The sequence below is a fragment of the Homo sapiens genome, chromosome 7, assembly GCF_000001405.40.
Source record: "Homo sapiens chromosome 7, GRCh38.p14 Primary Assembly".
Taxonomy (NCBI): domain Eukaryota; kingdom Metazoa; phylum Chordata; class Mammalia; order Primates; family Hominidae; genus Homo; species Homo sapiens.
Window position 1 is genome coordinate 129,659,588 of NC_000007.14, and position 18,863 is coordinate 129,678,450.

General features: G+C 41.5%; 1 protein-coding gene across 4 annotated transcripts in view; it reads left to right on the forward strand.

Annotated features, from left to right (window-relative positions):
• Nucleotides 1-18,863, forward strand: part of NRF1 (nuclear respiratory factor 1) — a 145,357-nt gene that overhangs the window by 47,868 nt on the left and 78,626 nt on the right. For 3 of the 4 annotated variants that reach the window (NM_001293163.2, NM_005011.5, NM_001040110.2), the window contains exons 3-4: nt 11,842-11,956; nt 18,045-18,171. In NM_001293163.2, the coding sequence (NP_001280092.1) occupies nt 11,842-11,956; nt 18,045-18,171 (242 nt within the window). The remainder of the gene's footprint in view (nt 1-11,841; nt 11,957-18,044; nt 18,172-18,863) is intronic. The other variant, NM_001293164.2, reaches the window with a different exon arrangement.

Consider the following 18,863-nt stretch of genomic DNA (forward strand, 5'->3'; position numbering starts at 1 on the left):
GCTTGGTGGTTATTCTTTCCTCATGTTGAAGGTACTGTTCCACTGTCTTCTGGATTCCATTGCTGCTATTGAGAATTCAGCTATTTCATTCTAACCGCTACTCTTTCAAAGATTATCTCCCACATGGCCTGCCCCCCTCTCCCGGAAATTTTAGCCATGAGATTTTGCTTCTGCTGCATTCCATCTCTTTTCATTCCATGGCTCCAGTTACTTATGTTAGTCTTCCTCACTTGTATGTCTCTTAACCATCTGTTCTGTATGTATCATCTTTCTGTGTAGTTTCTTCTGTCTTTCAGCTTGTGAAAGACAGAAGATTTTCTTCTTTAGCTGTTGTATTAGTCCATTTTCATGCTGCTGATAAGAGATACCCAAGACTGGGAAGAAAGAGGTTTTAATGGACTTACAGTTCCACCTGGCTAGGGAGGCCTCACAATCATGGTGGAAGGCAAGGAAGAGCAGGTCGCATCTTACATGGATGACAGCAGGCAAAAAGAGAGAGAGCTTGTGCAGGGAAACTCCTCCTTTTAAAACCATCAGATCTTGTGAGACTTATTCACTATCACAAGAACAGCATGGGAAAGATCTGCCCCCATGATTCAATTACCTCCCACCGGGTCCTTCCCACAACATGTGGGAATTATGAGAGTACAATTCAAGATGAGATTTGAGTGGGGACATAGAGCCAAACCATATTATTCCACCCCTGGCCCCTCCCAAATTTCATGTCCTCACATTTCAAAACCAATCATGCCTTTCTAACAGTCCCCCAAAGTCTTAACTCATTTCAGCATTAACTTAAAAGTCCACAGTCCAAATTCTCATCTGAGACAAGGCAAGTCCCTCTGCCTATGAGCCTGTAAAATCAAAAGCAAGTTAGTTACTTCCTAGATACAGTGGGGGTACAGGGATTGGGTAAATACAGGCATTCCAAGTGGGAGAAATTGGCCAAATAAAAGGGCTACAGGCCCCATGCAAGTCCGAAATCCAGCAGGGCCGTCAAATCTTAAAGCTCCAAAATGATCTCCTTTGATTCCATGTCTCACATCCAGGTCATGCTGATACAAGAGGTGGGGTCCCATGGTCTTGGACAGCTCTGCCCCCTGTGGCTTTGCAGGGTACAGCCTCCCTCCCAGCTGCTTTCATGGGCTGTTGTTGAGTGTCTGTGGCTTTTCCAGGCAAAAGATGCAAGCTGTCGGTGGATCTACTATTCTGGGGGCTGGAGGACAGTGGCCCTCTTCTCACAGCTCTACTAGGCAGTGCCCCCGAAGGGACTCTGTGTGAGGTCTCCGACCCAACCCCACATTTCCCTTACACACTGTACTTGCAGAGGTTCTCTATGAGGGTCCCGCCCCTGCAGCAAACTTCTGCCTGGATATCCAGGAGTTTTCATACATCCTCTGAAATCCAGGCATAGGTTCCCAAACTCCAATCCTTGACTTCTGTACACTTGCAGGCTCAACACCTTTGTGGAAGCTGCTAAGGCTTGGGGCTTGCAGCCCCTGAAGCCATGGCCCGAGCTCTGTGTTGGCCCCTTTCAGCCACAGCTGGAGCAGCTGGGATACAGGGCACCAAGCCCCTAGGCTGTGCCCAGCACAGGGACCCTGGGCCCAGCCCTTGAAACCTCCTAGGTCTCCAGGCCTATGATGGGAGGGGCTACTGTGAAGACCTCTGACATGCCCTGGAGACATTTTTTCCATTGTCTTGGGGATTAACATTCGTCTCCTTGTTGCTTATGCAAATTTCTGCAGCCAGCTTGAAGTTTTCCTCAGAAAATGGGATTTTCTTTTCTGTTGCATTATCAGGCTGCAAATTTTCCAAACTTTCATGTTTTCCTTCCCTTATAAAACAATGCCTTTAACAGCACCCAAGTCACCTCTTGAATGCTTTGCTGCTTAGAAATTTCTTCTGCCAGATACCCTAAATCATCTCTCTCAAGTTCAAAGTTCCACAAATCTCTAGGGCAGGGGCAAAATGCCACCAGTCTCTTTGCCGAAGCATAACAAGAGTCACCTTTGCTCCAGTTCCCAACAAGTTTCTTATTTCCACCTGAGACCACATCAACCTGGACTTTATTGTCCATATCACTATCAGCATTTTGGGCAAAGCCATTCATCAAGTCTCTTGGAAGTTCCAAACTTTCCTACATTTTCCCGTCTTCTTTTGAGCCCTCCAAACTGTTCCAACCCCAGCCTATTACCCAGTTCCAAAGTCACTTCCACATTTTTAGGTATCTTTTCAGCAGCACCCCACTCCTGGTACCAATTTACTATATTAGTCCATTTTCATGCTGCTGATAAGGACATACTCAAGACTGGGAAGAAAAGAGGTTTCGGTGGACTTACAGATCTATGTGGCTGGGGAGGCCTCACAACCATGGCAGAAGGCAAGGAGGAGCAAGTCATGTCTTACATGGATAACAGCAGTCAAAGAGTGAGAGAGCTTGTGCAGTGGAATTCCTCTTTTTTTAAACCCCCAGACCTAATGAGACTTATTCACTATCACAAGAACAGCACCGGAAAGACCTGCCCGCATGATTCAGTTACCTCCCACTAGGTTCCTCCCACAACATGTGGGAGTTATGAGAGTACAATTCAAGATGAGATTTGGGTGGGGACACAGCCAAACCATATCAGCTGTGTTTAAGGTGCCTTTTTTATGTTCTCTTTTCTTTGTTTTTTCTTTATTTATTAAGGTGCTTCTAAATCTGTTCATTGACTTATTAATTTTGGTAATTGTTAATAGTTTAACCAAAACTACTAACCAAGTGTTTTTTTTCCTCCAGTTTTAGAATTTCTAGTGTGTGTGTGTGTGTGTGTGTGTGTGTGTGTGTGTGTGTTTCCTCCGAGATTTGCACTGAACGGTTTCCAATAGTGGAAAAAAATTTCTTTTAAACAAATAATTTTATAATTTACCTGGTAATTCTCTCTCAAGTTTCTGTTACATGTTGTTAATGTCATTTCTTGTTCACGTTGGCTCTTTTCTTGGTGTACTATTATATTTCAATGAATACTGGATGCTGTGTTTGGAAAATTATTTCTAGAAATAATTTGGGGTCTAGTATAATGTTATCTTCCTCTAGAGAGGATTTTTGTTTGCTTCTGCGAGATGCCCGAGGGCACTAGCAATCCTGGATCATCTTAATCCAATTTAAGGTTTATTTATTTATTTATTTATTTATTTTAGTATTTATTGATCATTCTTGGGTGTTTCTCAGAGAGGGGGATGTGGCAGGGTCATAGGATAATAGTGGAGAGAAGGTCAGCAGATAAACACGAGAACAAAGGTCTCTGGTTTTCCTAGGCAGAGGTCCCTGCGGCCTTCGGCCCTGTTTGTGTCCCTGGGTACTTGAGATTAGGGAGTGGTGATGACTCTTAACGAGCATGCTGTCTTCAAGCATCTGTTTAACAAAGCACATCTTGCACCGCCCTTAATCCATTTAACCCTGAGTGGACACAGCACATGTTTCAGAGAGCATGGGGTTGGGGGTAAGTTAAAGATTAACAGCATCCCAAGGCAGAAGAATTTTTCTTAGTACAGAACAAAATGGAGTCTCCTATGTCTACTTCTTTCTACACAGACACAGTACAAATCTGACCTCTCTTCCTTTTCCCCACATTTCCCCCTTTTCTTTTCGACAAAACCGCCATCGTCATCATGGCCCGCTCTCGATGGTCGCTGTCTCTTCGGAGCTGTTGGGTACACTTCCCAGACGGGGCGGCCGAGCAGAGGCGCTCCCCACTTCCCAGACGGGGTGGCCGGGCAGAGGCGCACCTCACTTCCCAGACGGGGTGGTGGCCGGACAGAGGCGCTCCTCACCTCCCAGACGGGGTGGCGGCCGGGCAGAGGCGCTCCTCACATCCCAGACAATGGGCGGCCGAGCAGAGGTGCTCCTCACCTCCCAGACGGGGCGGCCGGGCAGAGGCGCTCCCCACCTCCCAGACGGGGTGGCCGGGCAGAGGGCTGCTCACATCCCAGACGATGGGCGGCCAGGCAGAGACGCTCCTCACTTCCTAGACGGGGTGGCGGCTGGGCAGAGGCGCTCCTCACTTCCCAGACGGGGCGGGCGGGCAGAGGGGCTCCTCACATCCCAGACGATGGGCGGCCAGGCAGAGACGCTGCTCACTTCCTAGACGGGGTGGCGGGCGGGCAGAGGCTGTAATCTTAGCACTTTGGGAGGCCAAGGCAGGCAGCTGGGAGGTGGAGGTTGTAGCGAGCCAAGATCACGCCACTGTACTCCAGCCTGGGCAACATTGAGCATTGAGTGAGCGAGACTCCGTCTGCAATCCCAGCACCTCGGGAGGCCGAGGTGGGCAGATCACCCGAGGCCAGGAGCTGGAGACCAGTCCGGTCAACACGGCGAAACCCCGTCTCCACCAAAAATACGAAAACCAGTCAGGAGTGGCGGCGTGTGCCTGGAATCCCAGGCACTCGCCAGGCCGAGGCAGGAGAATCACCGGAGCCCAGGGCAGGGAGGTTGCAGGGAGCGGAGATCTTGGCAGTACAGTCCAGGCTCCCCAAGAGAGGGAGACAGTGGAGACGGGAAAGGGGGAGGGGGAGGGGGAAAGGGAGGGAGAGGGTAGGGGAGAGGGAGAGGGAGAGGGATCCAATTTAAGGTTTTAAAATTTTCTGGGCTACTAAATGACTTAAAGCTGGGCTACATTTTATATCTTTCACTTTCCTGTTTACATTGAACATTTAGCACCATGGTGAAAAGACTTCATATAAACCATGCCTGAATGGGTATGGTATTAGATATTGATCTTAGAAGGTATTTAGAAAAGCTAGACAAGAAATTAATGATGAGGAGTGGCCAAAATACTACATGTTTTGAATATATGCTGTATTTAAGAAGAGGAAGACAGATTCAATGAACAACAACTTTATTACTGTCAGTTACTGTCCACTGTGTATTTCCGGAGTGGTGAATTTAAAAATAAGTCTTAGGGGCAAAACACTTGAAATGTTTGTAAAATATATTTTGTGAAATGCTTATGTGTCCCAGCAGAGGGCATCTTGACATAATGAATCCAGGTCCACTGCTTTTCTATGAAGGAAGATGGTTTTAAGACATGGCTTTGCTGTATTACTGTACTGCTTTGTGATAGTGTTAAGACCAGGCAAAGACTTTAATTTGACCCCTTTGTGTGGCACATGTGGAAAGTGAGACACAGCTGGTAGAAATGACTTCCATTTGATCATTTAATATTCAATTATTGAGGAATTATAATGTATAGTACATATATGTAACCTATGTAGATACTATGCACAAGGCAGGCAAGAGTTTGCTTCTTAGGAGTGCGAAAGGCTTATTGGGGGGAGAAAAGAGTTTGTTTCTGAAGGAGCTTTCATCCAGTGGTGGGGGAGAGCTACCAATAATAAAGTAAAATAATTTGAGAAAGCATTGGATGCTCTGAATAAAATAATGCGGGAAGGTAATGGAGAGAGAAGGACAGCAGATTGCTGCTAGTTTGGGTGGTCTGGGAAGGCTTCTCTGAGGAGGAAGGTTGTGACTGACAGGCAGTTAGGTGTCAGCAAAGGGAAGTGCATTTCAGACTGAGAAACACTGAAAGCAAGGACTTGCAGATGGGAAATGGGAAGGAGGCCAGTGTGGTTGGAGCCTTGTGAGGCAGGCATGAGTCAGACCACCCAGGGCCTAGGGGCTGTGTGTGGTAAGGAATTTCGAGAGGCAGCAGAGCACAGGGCTTACCTGCCCAGGCTCTGGAATCAGGCTTCCTGGGTTGGAATCCCAACTCCACTTAACCAGCGTGGGGATTTTTCTGAGGAGCTGGTCTGTAGCATTCATCATATCTGAAAGGTGACCCAGAAAAGGTAAATGACCATTCACTATATTGTGTTGCCTGTCAGAAACACTTCTAATTCTCTGCAGCACAGACAGCCCCTGATTATTGTTGATTTTCAAGAAAAAAAAGTTTATTTGTAGTGCAACTAAACGAAATCTTCAAGTAATAAAAACAATATCTCAAGTTGGTTGACCTCTTTTAGTATCAATCACCAGTATGTTGTTTGTTGTTGTTGTTGTTGTTGGTTTTTTTTGAGACAGGGTTTCACTCTGTTGTCCAGACTGGAGTGCAGTGGTACAATCATGGCTTACTGCAGCCTCAACCTCCTTGGGCTCAGATGATCCTCCCACCTCATCCTCGTGGACAGGTGCACGCCACCATGCCCAGCTAATTTTTTAAATTTTTGCAGACATGCCGTTTTGCCATGTTGCCCAGGGCTGGTCTTGAACTCCGGGGCTCAAGTGATCCTCCTGCCTTGGCCTCCCAGAGTGTTGGGATTACAGGCGTGAGCCACTGGGCCTAGCCCTAGAGGACTTCTTTTTAAACAAAATTGGATTTATTATTTCATTTTCTTTGAAATGATAAAGGATAGGTTAATAAAGAAGTGGAGAAAGATTCACGTGGTCTATAGACGTAATTAATATCTTGAGAGTGATAGTTTTGGTAAATTGTGCAGCAAGTAGAAAATACTTGAATATTTGAATCATATGGAGAAGTATCAAGATTGACATAACAAATGCATGTGCACCCACTGCCCAGCTTTGTCAGTTATTACTGCTTTCACATGTTTGCATCAAATGTTTTTTAAGAAATAAAAAGTACAGATATGGTTGAAATTCTCAGTGGAACTCTTTCTAATCCTGCTCCCTTCCCTCCCTCCCTCCACTGGGGTAACCAGTATTCTAGATTTGGTCTTTGTCATTCTCTTGCATTTGTCTATATTTGCTATTATGTGTCTGTATGATTAAACAATATTTAGCATTGTTTTGCATGTGTTAAATTTTATATTAATGGTATCACTCTGATACTATGTTTCTGTAATATGTTTATCTCGTTCAACATTTTTCTGAGATTCACCCATGTTGATAATGTGGCTGTTTTTAACTGTTATATGGTATTCCATTCATTATCTGAGTATTTCTTTTTCTGTTGTTGTTTTTTGAGATGGAGTTTCACTCTGTTGCCCTGGCTGGAGTGCAGTGGCACGATCTCTGCTCACTGCAACCTCTGCCTCCTGGGTTCAAGCAATTCTCCTGCCTCAGCCTCCTGAGTAGCTGGGACTAGAGGCACACACCACCATACCTGGCTAATTTTTGTATTTTTAGTAGAGATGGGGTTTACCATGTTGGCCAGGCTGGTCTCGAACTCCTGACCTCAAGTGATCTGCCTACCCCAGCCTCCCAAAGTGTTGGGATTACAGGCGAGAGCCACCGCATCCAGCCTGAATATTTCACATATTGGTAGATAATCAGGTTGTTTGTAATTTTTTCTGTTTTGACAATGTAGCACAGTAATACATTTTACATTGTGACCCAGAATAAATGAGTACACATATAGCCAAAACTACAATTTTTAATGAAATAATACTTAACCCCTACTGCAAATTGTATACTCTGTGATATGTTCTAGTCTGTTCTATTTTATTAGAAAAAAATACACTCATGAGTCACTGAAAGGTCATACTAGCTGTAGCTTGAAAAGTACTACTGGAAGATATACCCAGGAGGGGAATTGGAGGGCCAAAGATGTCCATTTTCAACTTTACTAGATATTGCTAAATGTCTTTCCAAATCCTGTTCATTTACATCCCCACAAGCAGTATGCTGTAGCGCCTGTTACTTCTCATTCTCACCATCGGTGTTACCAGTCTTTTTCATTTTTGCAGATCTGGTAGGTATAAAATGGCATCTCAGTGTTGGTTTAATTTGTGTTTTTGAGCTAGAGGTTCCAGCGAGTGCAGTAAGACAAAGTAGAGCACCATTTTGGATCTTTATTGACGTCTCAATTTTCTTTCTTTGCCTATTTCCTGTTTATACCTTTGCCCATTTCCCAACTCAGTTTTTTGGTCTTTTTTATGTCAATTTATAAAAATTATTGATCTATATTTTGTATTCCTTTCCCAATAATATGTATTGTAATTATTTTCTCCCAGTTTGTTGCCCACCCCCATTTATTTATTTTTTTGTTCATGAAGGTTTTTATTTATATTATTGTGAAATTTATTAATCTTTTACCTTATAGTTTATCCTTTCGGGATCTTGTTTAAGGAATTCTTCTTAACTCTGACTTTATAAAATATTCTATAGTAGTTTATTGTAGAAGTTATAATTTTTTTAATTTTCAATTTTAAAGGTATTTATTTATTTATTTATTTATTTATTTATTTATTTATTTATTAGAGATAGGATCTTACTCTGTCACCCAGGCTGGAGTGCAGTGATGCAATCATAGTTCTCTGCAGCCTCAAACTCTTAGTCTCAAGTGATCCTCCTGCCTCAGCCTCCCAAGTAGCTGGGACCTCAGGTGTGCAGCACCATGCCTGGTTTTAAATTTTTTTGTAGATACGGAGTCTTGCTATGGTGCCCAGGCTAGTCTTGAACTCCTGGCCTCAAGCAGTCCTCCTGCCTTGTCCTTCCAAAGTGCTGGATTACAAGCTTTCTTTTGTTTTTCATTGTTTTATTGAGGTTATTGTTTTACATTTAGGCCTTTAATCCACCTGTAATTTATTTTTGTATGTAAGGATCTAATTTCATTATTTTTCCATATGGATAACCAGCATCATATATTTAATAGCCCATACTTTTTTTTATCTTTCTGACACAGGAGGATGTTTATGAAATCTGCAATTCAGTTGCTTTGATTTGTCTATCCCTGAGTCAGTTCCACACTAGTTTAATGACTATAGTTATGCTCTTATTTATTTATCTCATCTCATCCTTCTAATCAGTGGAGATATAACCTTAATGAGTATAGCCTTGTAATTACTAATATGTGGTAGGATGAATGCCTTCAAATTCTTAAAATCTTATGAATTGTTTTGGCTATTTTTGGCCATTTGCACTTCTATTTAAATACTGGGATCAGTTTATCAAATTCCACAAAATCCCATGTTGAGAGTTTTATTTGAACTGTATTAAATTTATAAATCAATCAAATCAAGCAGCTTTATGCACAGTAGCCTAAAACTGGAAATAGTCCAAGTATCCATCAGATAGAAGAATAGGTAAACAAACTGGTTTATCCAAACAATGGAATATTACTTGGCAACAAAAAGGAAAAAACAACTGGTTCATGTGGCAGCATGGATGAATCTAGAAACATTATTCTAAGTGAAGTTTTAAGTGAAAGAGTATTACTATATGATTTACTACTTACTATATGATTCCATTTATTTAAAGCTCTAGAATAGGCAAAACTCTAATGTATGGTGAAAAAAAGAAGAATTCTAGGTATTGCTGAGAAGTAAGGATGGGAATTGACTGAGAAGGGACATGAAAGGACTTTCTGGAGTGATGTTATAGGTCTTGAGTTTCCTCTCCTTTCCCCTCCCCTCCCCTCCTGTCTCCTCTCCTTTTTTGAGACGGAGTCTTGCTCCTTCACCCAGGCCAGAGTGCAGTGGAGTGATCTCGGTTCACTGCAACCTCCACCTCCCAGATTCAAGCGATTTTCCTGCCTCAGTCTCCTGAGTAGCTGGGACTACAGAGGTGCACCACCATGCCCAGCTAATTTTGTATTTTTAGTAGAGATGGGGTTTCACCATATTGGCCAGGCTGGTCTCAAACTCCTGACCTTAGGTGATCCTCCCACCTCAGCCTCCCAAAGTGCTGAGATTACAGGTGTGAGCCACTGCGCCTGGCCAGATCTTGAGTTTTATGAGTATATACATTTTTAAAATGTATTGAATGTATACTTGGATTTGTATACTTCACTATATGCAAATTTTACCTCAAAAGAAAAAAATTATAAAATATTGAACTCTAGCTAATGCTATGCCTGCTGAAGTATTTAGGGGGATCATATTGATATTTGCAGTTTGCTTTGAAACACATTTTAAAAACCCCAGTGTGAGTTGATGAATGGATAGAACGATGGATAGATATGTATAATAAGATGTTAAAATTCAACTTTGCACATATGTTTTTAAGTTTTCATAATAAAATATTGGACTCCTACAACTCAGCTGCAAGAAACCAAATAACTCAATATAAAAAATGGGCAAGGGACTCGAATAAACATCTCTGTAAGGAAGACTTAGAAATCACCAACAGGTTAGATGCTCAACTATTATCAAAAATATAAACTAGTGGCGGTGAGGTCGTAGAGCAACTGGAACCCTTATATACTATAGGTGGGAATGTACAGTGGTCCAGCCGCTCTGGAAAACAGTATGGAGATTCCTCCAAAAAATTAAAAATAGAACTACCATATATGATCCTGGTGTCTCACTTCTGGGTATTTATCCAACAGAATTGAAATCAGGACCCCAAAGAGATATCCACACTCCCTTGTTCATTGTTGTATTATTCACAATAGCAAGATGTGAAAATAGCCTAAATGCCCACCAGCGGATGAATGGCTAAAGCAAATGTGATCTGTATGTACAATGGAACATTATTCACCCTTAAAAACACAAGGAAATGCTGTCATATGTGACAACATGGTTCAACCTTGGGGACATTATGATAAGTGAAACAAACCAGTCATAGAAAGACAAATACTGCATGATTCTACTTATAGAAGGTATCTAAAATAGTCATAGAAACAGAGGAGAATGGTGGTTGCCAGGGTCTGGGGGTGAGGGACAGATGGGGAGTTGCTCTTCAGTGATGCAAGGGGAATAAGTTCTGGATAGCCGTACAACATTGGGCTTATAGTTAGCAATGATGTGTTGTCCACTTTACATTTTAAGAGAGTAGATAACAAACATGTTAAGTGTTCTTACCACAATTTTGAAAAATAAGTAAAATGTTGGTAAATGCAGCCATAAAATTTTTTCTGTAACAGCTATTTATGATGGAAAGAAAGGTAAAAAGCAGTTGCTTATTTTTTATTTGCTTTGAGGTTCTTTAGAGGGGTTTAAGTCAGGCTGATTATATTACTAACAACATGTAGAAAAGTTCATTTAGGTTTACAGGGAGGTTTATTTTATTTGAGCCACTTAGAATATATATGCCAATATACAGATGAGCAATTTAATTTTTATTTAAGCCTTTTACAAGATTCATAAATAAGGATAAAGGTAAAATGTCTTTTTAAAAAGATTGTCTTTGATATGTTGAGGTCCCAGGAATCAGAGACTTCAATAGTTCCTTTGAGTCTACCCTCCATCTACCCTTCAAAAGACAAAACAAGACATTATACATTAGTTTCAAGGCAAGCCAGACTAACTTTTATTAACATTTTCTCAGAGTGGGAAAGTTATCTCTTTTCTGCCAGAATGCCTTCATCAACTTGACCTTGTGTTGAACATCTCCATTTTTGGCACAATTCCCAGATGTAGAAGAAAATTTTTTCAATTAAGATGTTATTCATTCAGATACTCCTTTAGGTGTTGTTGGAGTTCCAAATGTGAGTGATTATCTCCAACTTCCTTAACTTGGCATTGTCTTGGAGTAATGGAAACAGGGGTACAGGGATAGAAGTAAATACTGAAATCTGTAAATTTTTTCAATTTTGGCAAACTTCTCCTCTCAGTGCTACAATTTTTCCTAGCACCTCTAAGAATATTGCCTTTACAGTATGGGCATGCTGGCAAAACAAAGCCAAAGAAAAACAACATTATACAAAATTCAAACTAGTGTGTGATGGGGAGGTGTAAGTCATTTGCTTTTTTAAAAGATTCATTGTATGTTTTATTGGTAAATCATAATATGAATCATGTTAAACAATAGTGAAGTATATTGATAATATCAGGATCATTCTTTATTTACCGACAACAATATTAGGAAAGCAGTGCTACCTTTTTTGTACCTTTAATTGTTTCTGTCTTGAACAGTTTACAGGCAGCTGCCTAATCTCAGCACATACGTTATTATTTCAGGTCCTGTGGGAATGGCCGCTGCTGCTGCTGTGGCAACAGGAAAGAAACGGAAACGGCCTCATGTATTTGAGTCTAATCCATCTATCCGGAAGAGGCAACAAACACGTTTGCTTCGGTGAGGGCTCCCTTATCCATATTGTTACTATTCCTCAAATACTTCCTGTGGATGACAGACTTAGAACATATGTGATTAGGTTTGTCAAGGATGCTTGGTTCGATTCCTTGATGACAGATGTAGACTTAAAAGTATTCTTACAAAATTAAATGCATGAAAACAAAGAAATACGATTTAACAGATACGTAATATCACATTAATTCATTCAGAAAAGTTGTATGCCTGCTATGTGCAAGCCATTGTTGTAGACATTGGGCATGGAAGAGTGAACAAAACAAATTGCCTTAAAGAGCTTGTATCCTGCTAGAGGGGGAAAGAAAAAAACAATATGCAATATGTCAGCTGATGATAAGTGCAATGGGAAAAAAATACAGTGGAGTAAGGAAAATAGAAAAGTCAGGAGGTAGGGGGATATAGTCAGTTTTCTCTATTACGGGGATGGTCTGGGAAATCCTTTTTGTTAAGGCAGCCTTTGAACAGAGACTTGAAGGTGCTGAAAGAGCACACATGTTGATGCTGGGGGGAAGAACATCTCAGGCAGGGTGAGTATCAAGAGCAAAGGCCCCGAGGTGTGAATGTGGTAGTTGTGTTTGAGGAACAGCCAGGGAGATATGAGAGGATGTTCAGAGCAGTAGAGAAGAGCCACGCCAGGAGATCTTTTTTTTTTTTTTTTTTTTGATAGATGTGGTCTTGCTATGTTGTCCAGGCTGGTCTGGGACTCCTGGCCTCAAGCGATCCTCGTGCCTCAGCCCCCAAAATGCTGGGATTACAGGTGTGGGTCACTTCACCCAGCCTAGGAGATCTTATAGTCCAATATCAGGGGCTTGACTCTTACTCTGAGTGAGATGAGATGTCATTGTAGGCTTTTGACCAGAGCAGTAGTATCATCTGACTTATATTTTTAAAGAATCACTCAGGCTACTGTGTTGAGAATAGACTGTGGGGATACAAGAATGGAATCAGGGAGACCAATTAGGTGGTGATTATAGTAATCTAGGCCAGAAATGATAGTGTCTTAAAACCAACATGGCAGCATCATGGATAGTAAGAAGTGATCAGGTTCTAGATGTATTTCGAAAGTCAACTCATCATGATTCATTGACATGGAGTTTGAGAGAAAGGAGTGCTGGGTGATTTTTGGTCTGATTACTAGAAGGATTGCGATGACATTTACTGGAGGAGGAGCGAGCATGGCAGTGAGGGTGAGGCAGAATCAGGAATTTGGTTTTGGACATGGTAAGTTTGTGATGCCTCTAACCATTAAGTGGAGATACAAAATAAGCAGTTGGATATATGAGTCTGGAATTGAAATGAGAGGCCTTAGCTGAAGATATTATAAGCATATAGGTAGTATTTAGAACTAGGAGACTGGATGAGGTCACTTAGGGAGTGAGTATGGACTGAGGCCTGAAGCACTCCACCTTTTAGAGGTTAGAGAGATTAAAGGAACCAGCAAAAGAATCTAAGAAGCAACCAGTGAGTCAGGAAACAAACCAAGAGAGTGGTATCCTGGAAACCAGGTACAAAAAGTGTGTCAGGAAGGAGAGCATGTGATCAGCTATCAAATGCTGCTGATGGGTTGAAAAAGATGCCAACTGACTATTAGATTTAGTAACATGGAGTTCATGATTGAACTTGACAAGAGTATATTCAAAGGAGTGGTAAGGGTGAAAAGATTGGAATAGCTTTAAGAGAGAATAGGGAGAGAGGAATTGGAGACAGTGAATATAAACCATTGTTTCAAGGAATTCCATCAGATTTCTTGTTTGATAAGTGGTCCTTTGCCCACCACATTTCAGAATTCTGAAATGTAGAACTTTGAAATCATCTCCCATGATTTCAGAGGGAAGAGGCAGTGTTTCTGTTTCATCCATTGTTACTATATTTTAAAAAGCTGTTTTCGGGGTCGGGCGCGGTGGCTCACGCCTGTAATCCCAGCACTTTGGGAGGCCGAGGCGGGCGGATCACGAGGTCAGGAGATCGAGACCATGGTGAAACCTCGTCTCTACTAAAAATACAAAAAATTAGCCGGGCGCAGTGGCGGGCGCCTGTAGTCCCAGCTACTCGGGAGGCTGAGGCAGGAGAATGGCGTGAACCCGGGAGGCGGAGCTTGCAGTGAGCGGAGATCGCGCCACAGCACTCCCGCCTGGGCGACAGAGCGAGACTCCGTCTCAAAAAAAAAAAAAAAAAAAGCTGTTTTCGGTTTGATGGGTGCAGCAGACCACCATGTCACATGTATACCTTTGTAACAAACCTGCACATGTATCCCAGAACTTAAAGTAAAATTAAAAAAAAATTTTTTTAAGCTGTTTTTGGCTGGGCATGGTGGCTCATGCCTATAATCCCAGCACTTTGGGAGGCCGAGGTGGGCGGATCACCTGAGGTCGGGAGTTTGAGACCAGCTTGGCCACCATGGTGAAACCCCATCTCTACTAAAAATAGAAAATATAAGCCAGGCATGGTGGCAGGCACCTACAATCCCAGCTAGTCGGGAGGCTGAGGCAGGAGAATAGCTTTAACCCAGGAGGCGGAGGCTGCAGTGAGCCGAGATCGCACCACTGTACTTTAGCCTAGGCGACAGAGTGAAACTCCATCTAAAAAAAAAAAAAAGCTGTTTTCATTTCATCCTCACTTGTGAAATACTGTAGGACTAAGAATAATTATTTATATCACAATGAAAATCTGAAGCTACAACATTTTAAAAGCATAGGTATACCTCAGAGATATTGCAGGTTTGGTTCCAGACCACTACAATAAAGCAAGTATCACAATAAGTCACAGAAATTTTTTGGTTTCTCAGTACATAAAAAAGTTGTGTTAACACTATACTCTGTTAAGTGTTGCAGTGGTATTATATCTAAAAAAAAAAAGCAATGTACATACCGTAATTTTAAAATACTTTTTTTTTGGAGACAGAGTCTAGCTCTGCTGTCCAAGCTAGAGTGCAGTGGTGTGATCATGGCTCACTGCAGCCTCAATCTCCTGGGCTCAAGTGATCCTCTCACTTAGCCTCCCAAGTAGTTGGGACAATAGGTGCATGTCACCATACCTGGCGAATTTTTTCTTCTTTCTGTAAAGACGGGGTCTCACTATGTTGCCCAGGCTGGGCTTGAACTCCTGGGCTCAAGCAATCCTCCCACCTCAACCTCCCAAAGTGCTGGGATTACAGGTGTGAGCCACTGGGCCTGACCACTAAAACACTTAATTGCTAAAAGATGTTAGGGCTCATCTGAGCCTGCAGTGACTCATAATCTTATTGCTGGTTGACGGTCTTGCCTCGATGTTGATGACTGCTGACTGATCAGGGTGGTTGTTGCTGAAGGTTGGGGTGGCTGCGGCAATTTCTTAAAAATAATACAACAAATTTTGCCCTATCGATTGACTCTTCCTTTCCTGAACGATTTCTCTGTAACGTGGTGCTGTTTGATAGCATTTTACCCACAGTAAGACTTTCAAAATTGGAGTTAATCCCCTCCAACTCTGCTGCTGCTTCATAAATTCAGTTTGTGTAATATTCTAAATCTTTTATTGTCATTTCAACAATATACATAACATCTTCATCAGGAGTGGATTTCATCTCAGGAAACCGCTTTCTTTGCTCATCAATAAGAAGCACCTCTCATCCATTGGAATTTTATCATGATATTGTAGCAATTCAGTCCCATTTTCAGGGTCCACTTTTAATTCTGGTTCTTTCACTGTTTCTACTGCATCCGCAGTTACTTCCTCCACTGAAGTGTTGAACTCCTTAAAATCATCCGTAAGGCTTGGAATCAAGTTCTTCCAAACTTCCATTAATGTTGATAGTTTGACCTCCTCCCATGTACTTGCACATGAATTACAAGTACTCTTAATGGCATCTTGAATGGTGAATCCGTTCTAGAAGGTTTTCAATTTATTTTACCCAGATCCATCAGAGGAATCACTATAGCAGCTATATCCTTTCAAAATGTATTTCTTACATAAAAAGACCTGAATGTTGAAATGACTCCTTGATCCATGGGCTGCAGAATGGATGTTATCTTAGCAGGCATGAAAACAGCATTAATCTCCTTGTACGTCTCCGTTAGAGCTCTTGGGTGACTAGGTGCATTGTCAATGTGCAACAATAGTTTGAAAGGAATTTTTTTTTCTGAGCAGTGGGTCTCAACAGTGGTCTTAAAATATTCCATAAACCATGCTGTAAACAGATGTACTGCCATCCAGGTTTTATTGTTCTATTTATAGAGGACAGGCAGAGTAGATTTAGCATGATTTTTAAAGGACCCTAAAGTCACTAGCTGCATTAGCCCCTAACAAGAGAGTCAACCTGTCCTTTGAAGCTTTGAAACCTGGCATTGACTTCTCCTCTCTAGCTAGGAAAGTCCTAGATTGTATCTTCTTCCAGTAGAAGGCTGTTTTATCTACATTGAAAATCTGTTGTTTAGTGTAGCCACTTATCTAGATCTTCTGGATAACTTGCTCCAGCTTCTACATCAGCACTTGCAGCTTCACTTTGTACTTTTATGTAATGGAGATGGCTTCTTTCCTTGAACCTCATGAACCAACCTCTGAAAGAGTCAGGGCTTTGCTCTGCATTAGGCTTTGGCCTATGAGAATGTTGTGGCTGGTTTGATCTTTTATCCGGACCACTAAAACTTTCTCCATATCAGCAATAAAACTGTTTTGCTTTCTTATCATTTGTGTGTTCATTGGAGTAGCATTTGTAATTTCCCTCAAGGACTTTTCTTTGCATTAACAACGTGGCCAACTGTTTGGCATAAGCGGCCTTGCTGTCAGCCTATCTTGGCTTTCAACATGCCTTCCTCACTAAGCTTAGTCATGTCTAGCTTTTGATTAAAAGTGGGAGATGTGCGACTCTTCCTTAAAGTTGAACACTTAGAGGCCATTGTAGGGTTATCAGTTGGCCTAATTTCAATACTGTGTCTCAGGGAACAGGAAGGCCTGAGGAGTGGGAGAGAGGCAGGAAACAGTTGGTCAGTGGGGCATTCAGAACACACACAACATTTATCAGTCAAGTTTGCCATCTTTTGTGGGCACTGTCGTGCCCCAAAACAATTAAAATAGTAACATCGAAGATCACTGATCACAGATCACTATAACAGATTATAATAATGAAGAAGTTTGAAATATTGCTAGAGTTACCAAAATGTGACACAGAGACACGAAGTGAGCACATGCTGTTGGAAAAAAATGGCACTGATCAACTTGCTTGACATAGGGTTGCCACAAACCTTTAATTTGTTTTAAAGAAAGATCCCAGATAGTATCTGTGAAACACAAAATAACAAAGCACAATAAAACTAGGTATGCTTGTAGTATTTTTGGACAAAATTATCTCAATGAAATATAAACAATGAGATATAAACAATCAATAAAAGATAGTAAAAGCAAATCATTTGAACCCCTTTTATTAAGCATGGAGATGATATAATAAATTCTGTAAGAGCACATCTTGGTTGCATTTTTTTTTTTTTTTTTTTTTGAGAAAAAGTCTTGCTCTGTTGCTCAGGCTGGAGTGCAGTGGCACCATCTTGGTTCACTGCAACCTCCACCTCCTGGATTCAAGCAATTCTCGTGCCTCAGCCTCCCAAGAATCTAGGATTACAGGCGTGTGCCACCATGTCTGGGTAATGTTTTTGTATTTTTAGTAGAGACGGGTTTTACACCATGTTGGCCAGGCTGGTCTCGAACTCGTGGCCTCAAGTGATCCGCCTGCCTTGGCCTCCCAAAGTGCTGGGATTACAGCAGGCATGAGCCACCATGCCTGGCCAGTTGTAATCTTTATAATTGTAAGTAGCAGTAAGTGATGTTGCTCAGATCAAGAAGAATGATACCATGTTCAAAATTGTGTCATGGCTATGTCCCAAAGCAAAACCTTCAGTTGAGCCTTCTATCAGTAGTCTTTAAGAAAAAGGTATGTACATATTTCTGCTGAATAGGATAGCAAACCTCACATTCCCCTTTTCACATTTTACGTAAAAGAGCATATCTGATCAGAATAAACTGTCTTACCTCATTTGTGTCTATGTCACTGTAATTTCCGTCTTTTTAAAACTTTTTATTCTTGTTTCCTTTTCTGATTCAGGAAACTTCGAGCCACGTTAGATGAATATACTACTCGTGTGGGACAGCAAGCTATTGTCCTCTGTATCTCACCCTCCAAACCTAACCCTGTCTTTAAAGTGTTTGGTGCAGCACCTTTGGAGAATGTGGTAAGTCAGAACCAAGCTGTTCTCATTTGCCCTTTGCTTTCTGTCGGCTGCTTCCATTCTTCTGATCCTCTGTCAAGTATAACAGTTGGCATTTCTGTTACCCCCTAATCCAGGCATGGGAGTGGGGACTAGTTTTCAGACTGCTTTATGCATATCAAAACAAAATGATCATTACTCTTTTTACTTCCTACGTCAAGGTATTTTACCTCCCCAGATGCAATGGGTGGCCGGGGGAAGGGGGGAGGGGGCGGGGAAACAAGGTGTTTTGTTTGTTAGGAAACCAATGCAGGATTTTCTAAGAAAATTACTGATTTATATCAGAAACAAAATAATAGATAATTCCAAGGTGTCAACTTCCTGAGGGAAACCTGGGGGCATTTTATTGATCAGTTTATTTGAGTTACATATTTGAAATATCTTACATTTATCAAAGAATTGATTTAATACTGTGCTCCAAATATAGAACTATATTTGAACATTTTGATTGTATAACTATCCAGAGCTAATTTTATAAAAATAGTCTTTTGCCCCTGCATACTTATACAATAGGAACTATTCTTTCTTGCGCCAAATTAACTTTGAATCATTAGTAGATTAATGATCTGTAAAGATTTAAATTGCATTTTGTTTTTATTAGGGTAAAATTTATTAGCTTAAAATGACATTTATTAGATGTCTCCCATATTGAATAT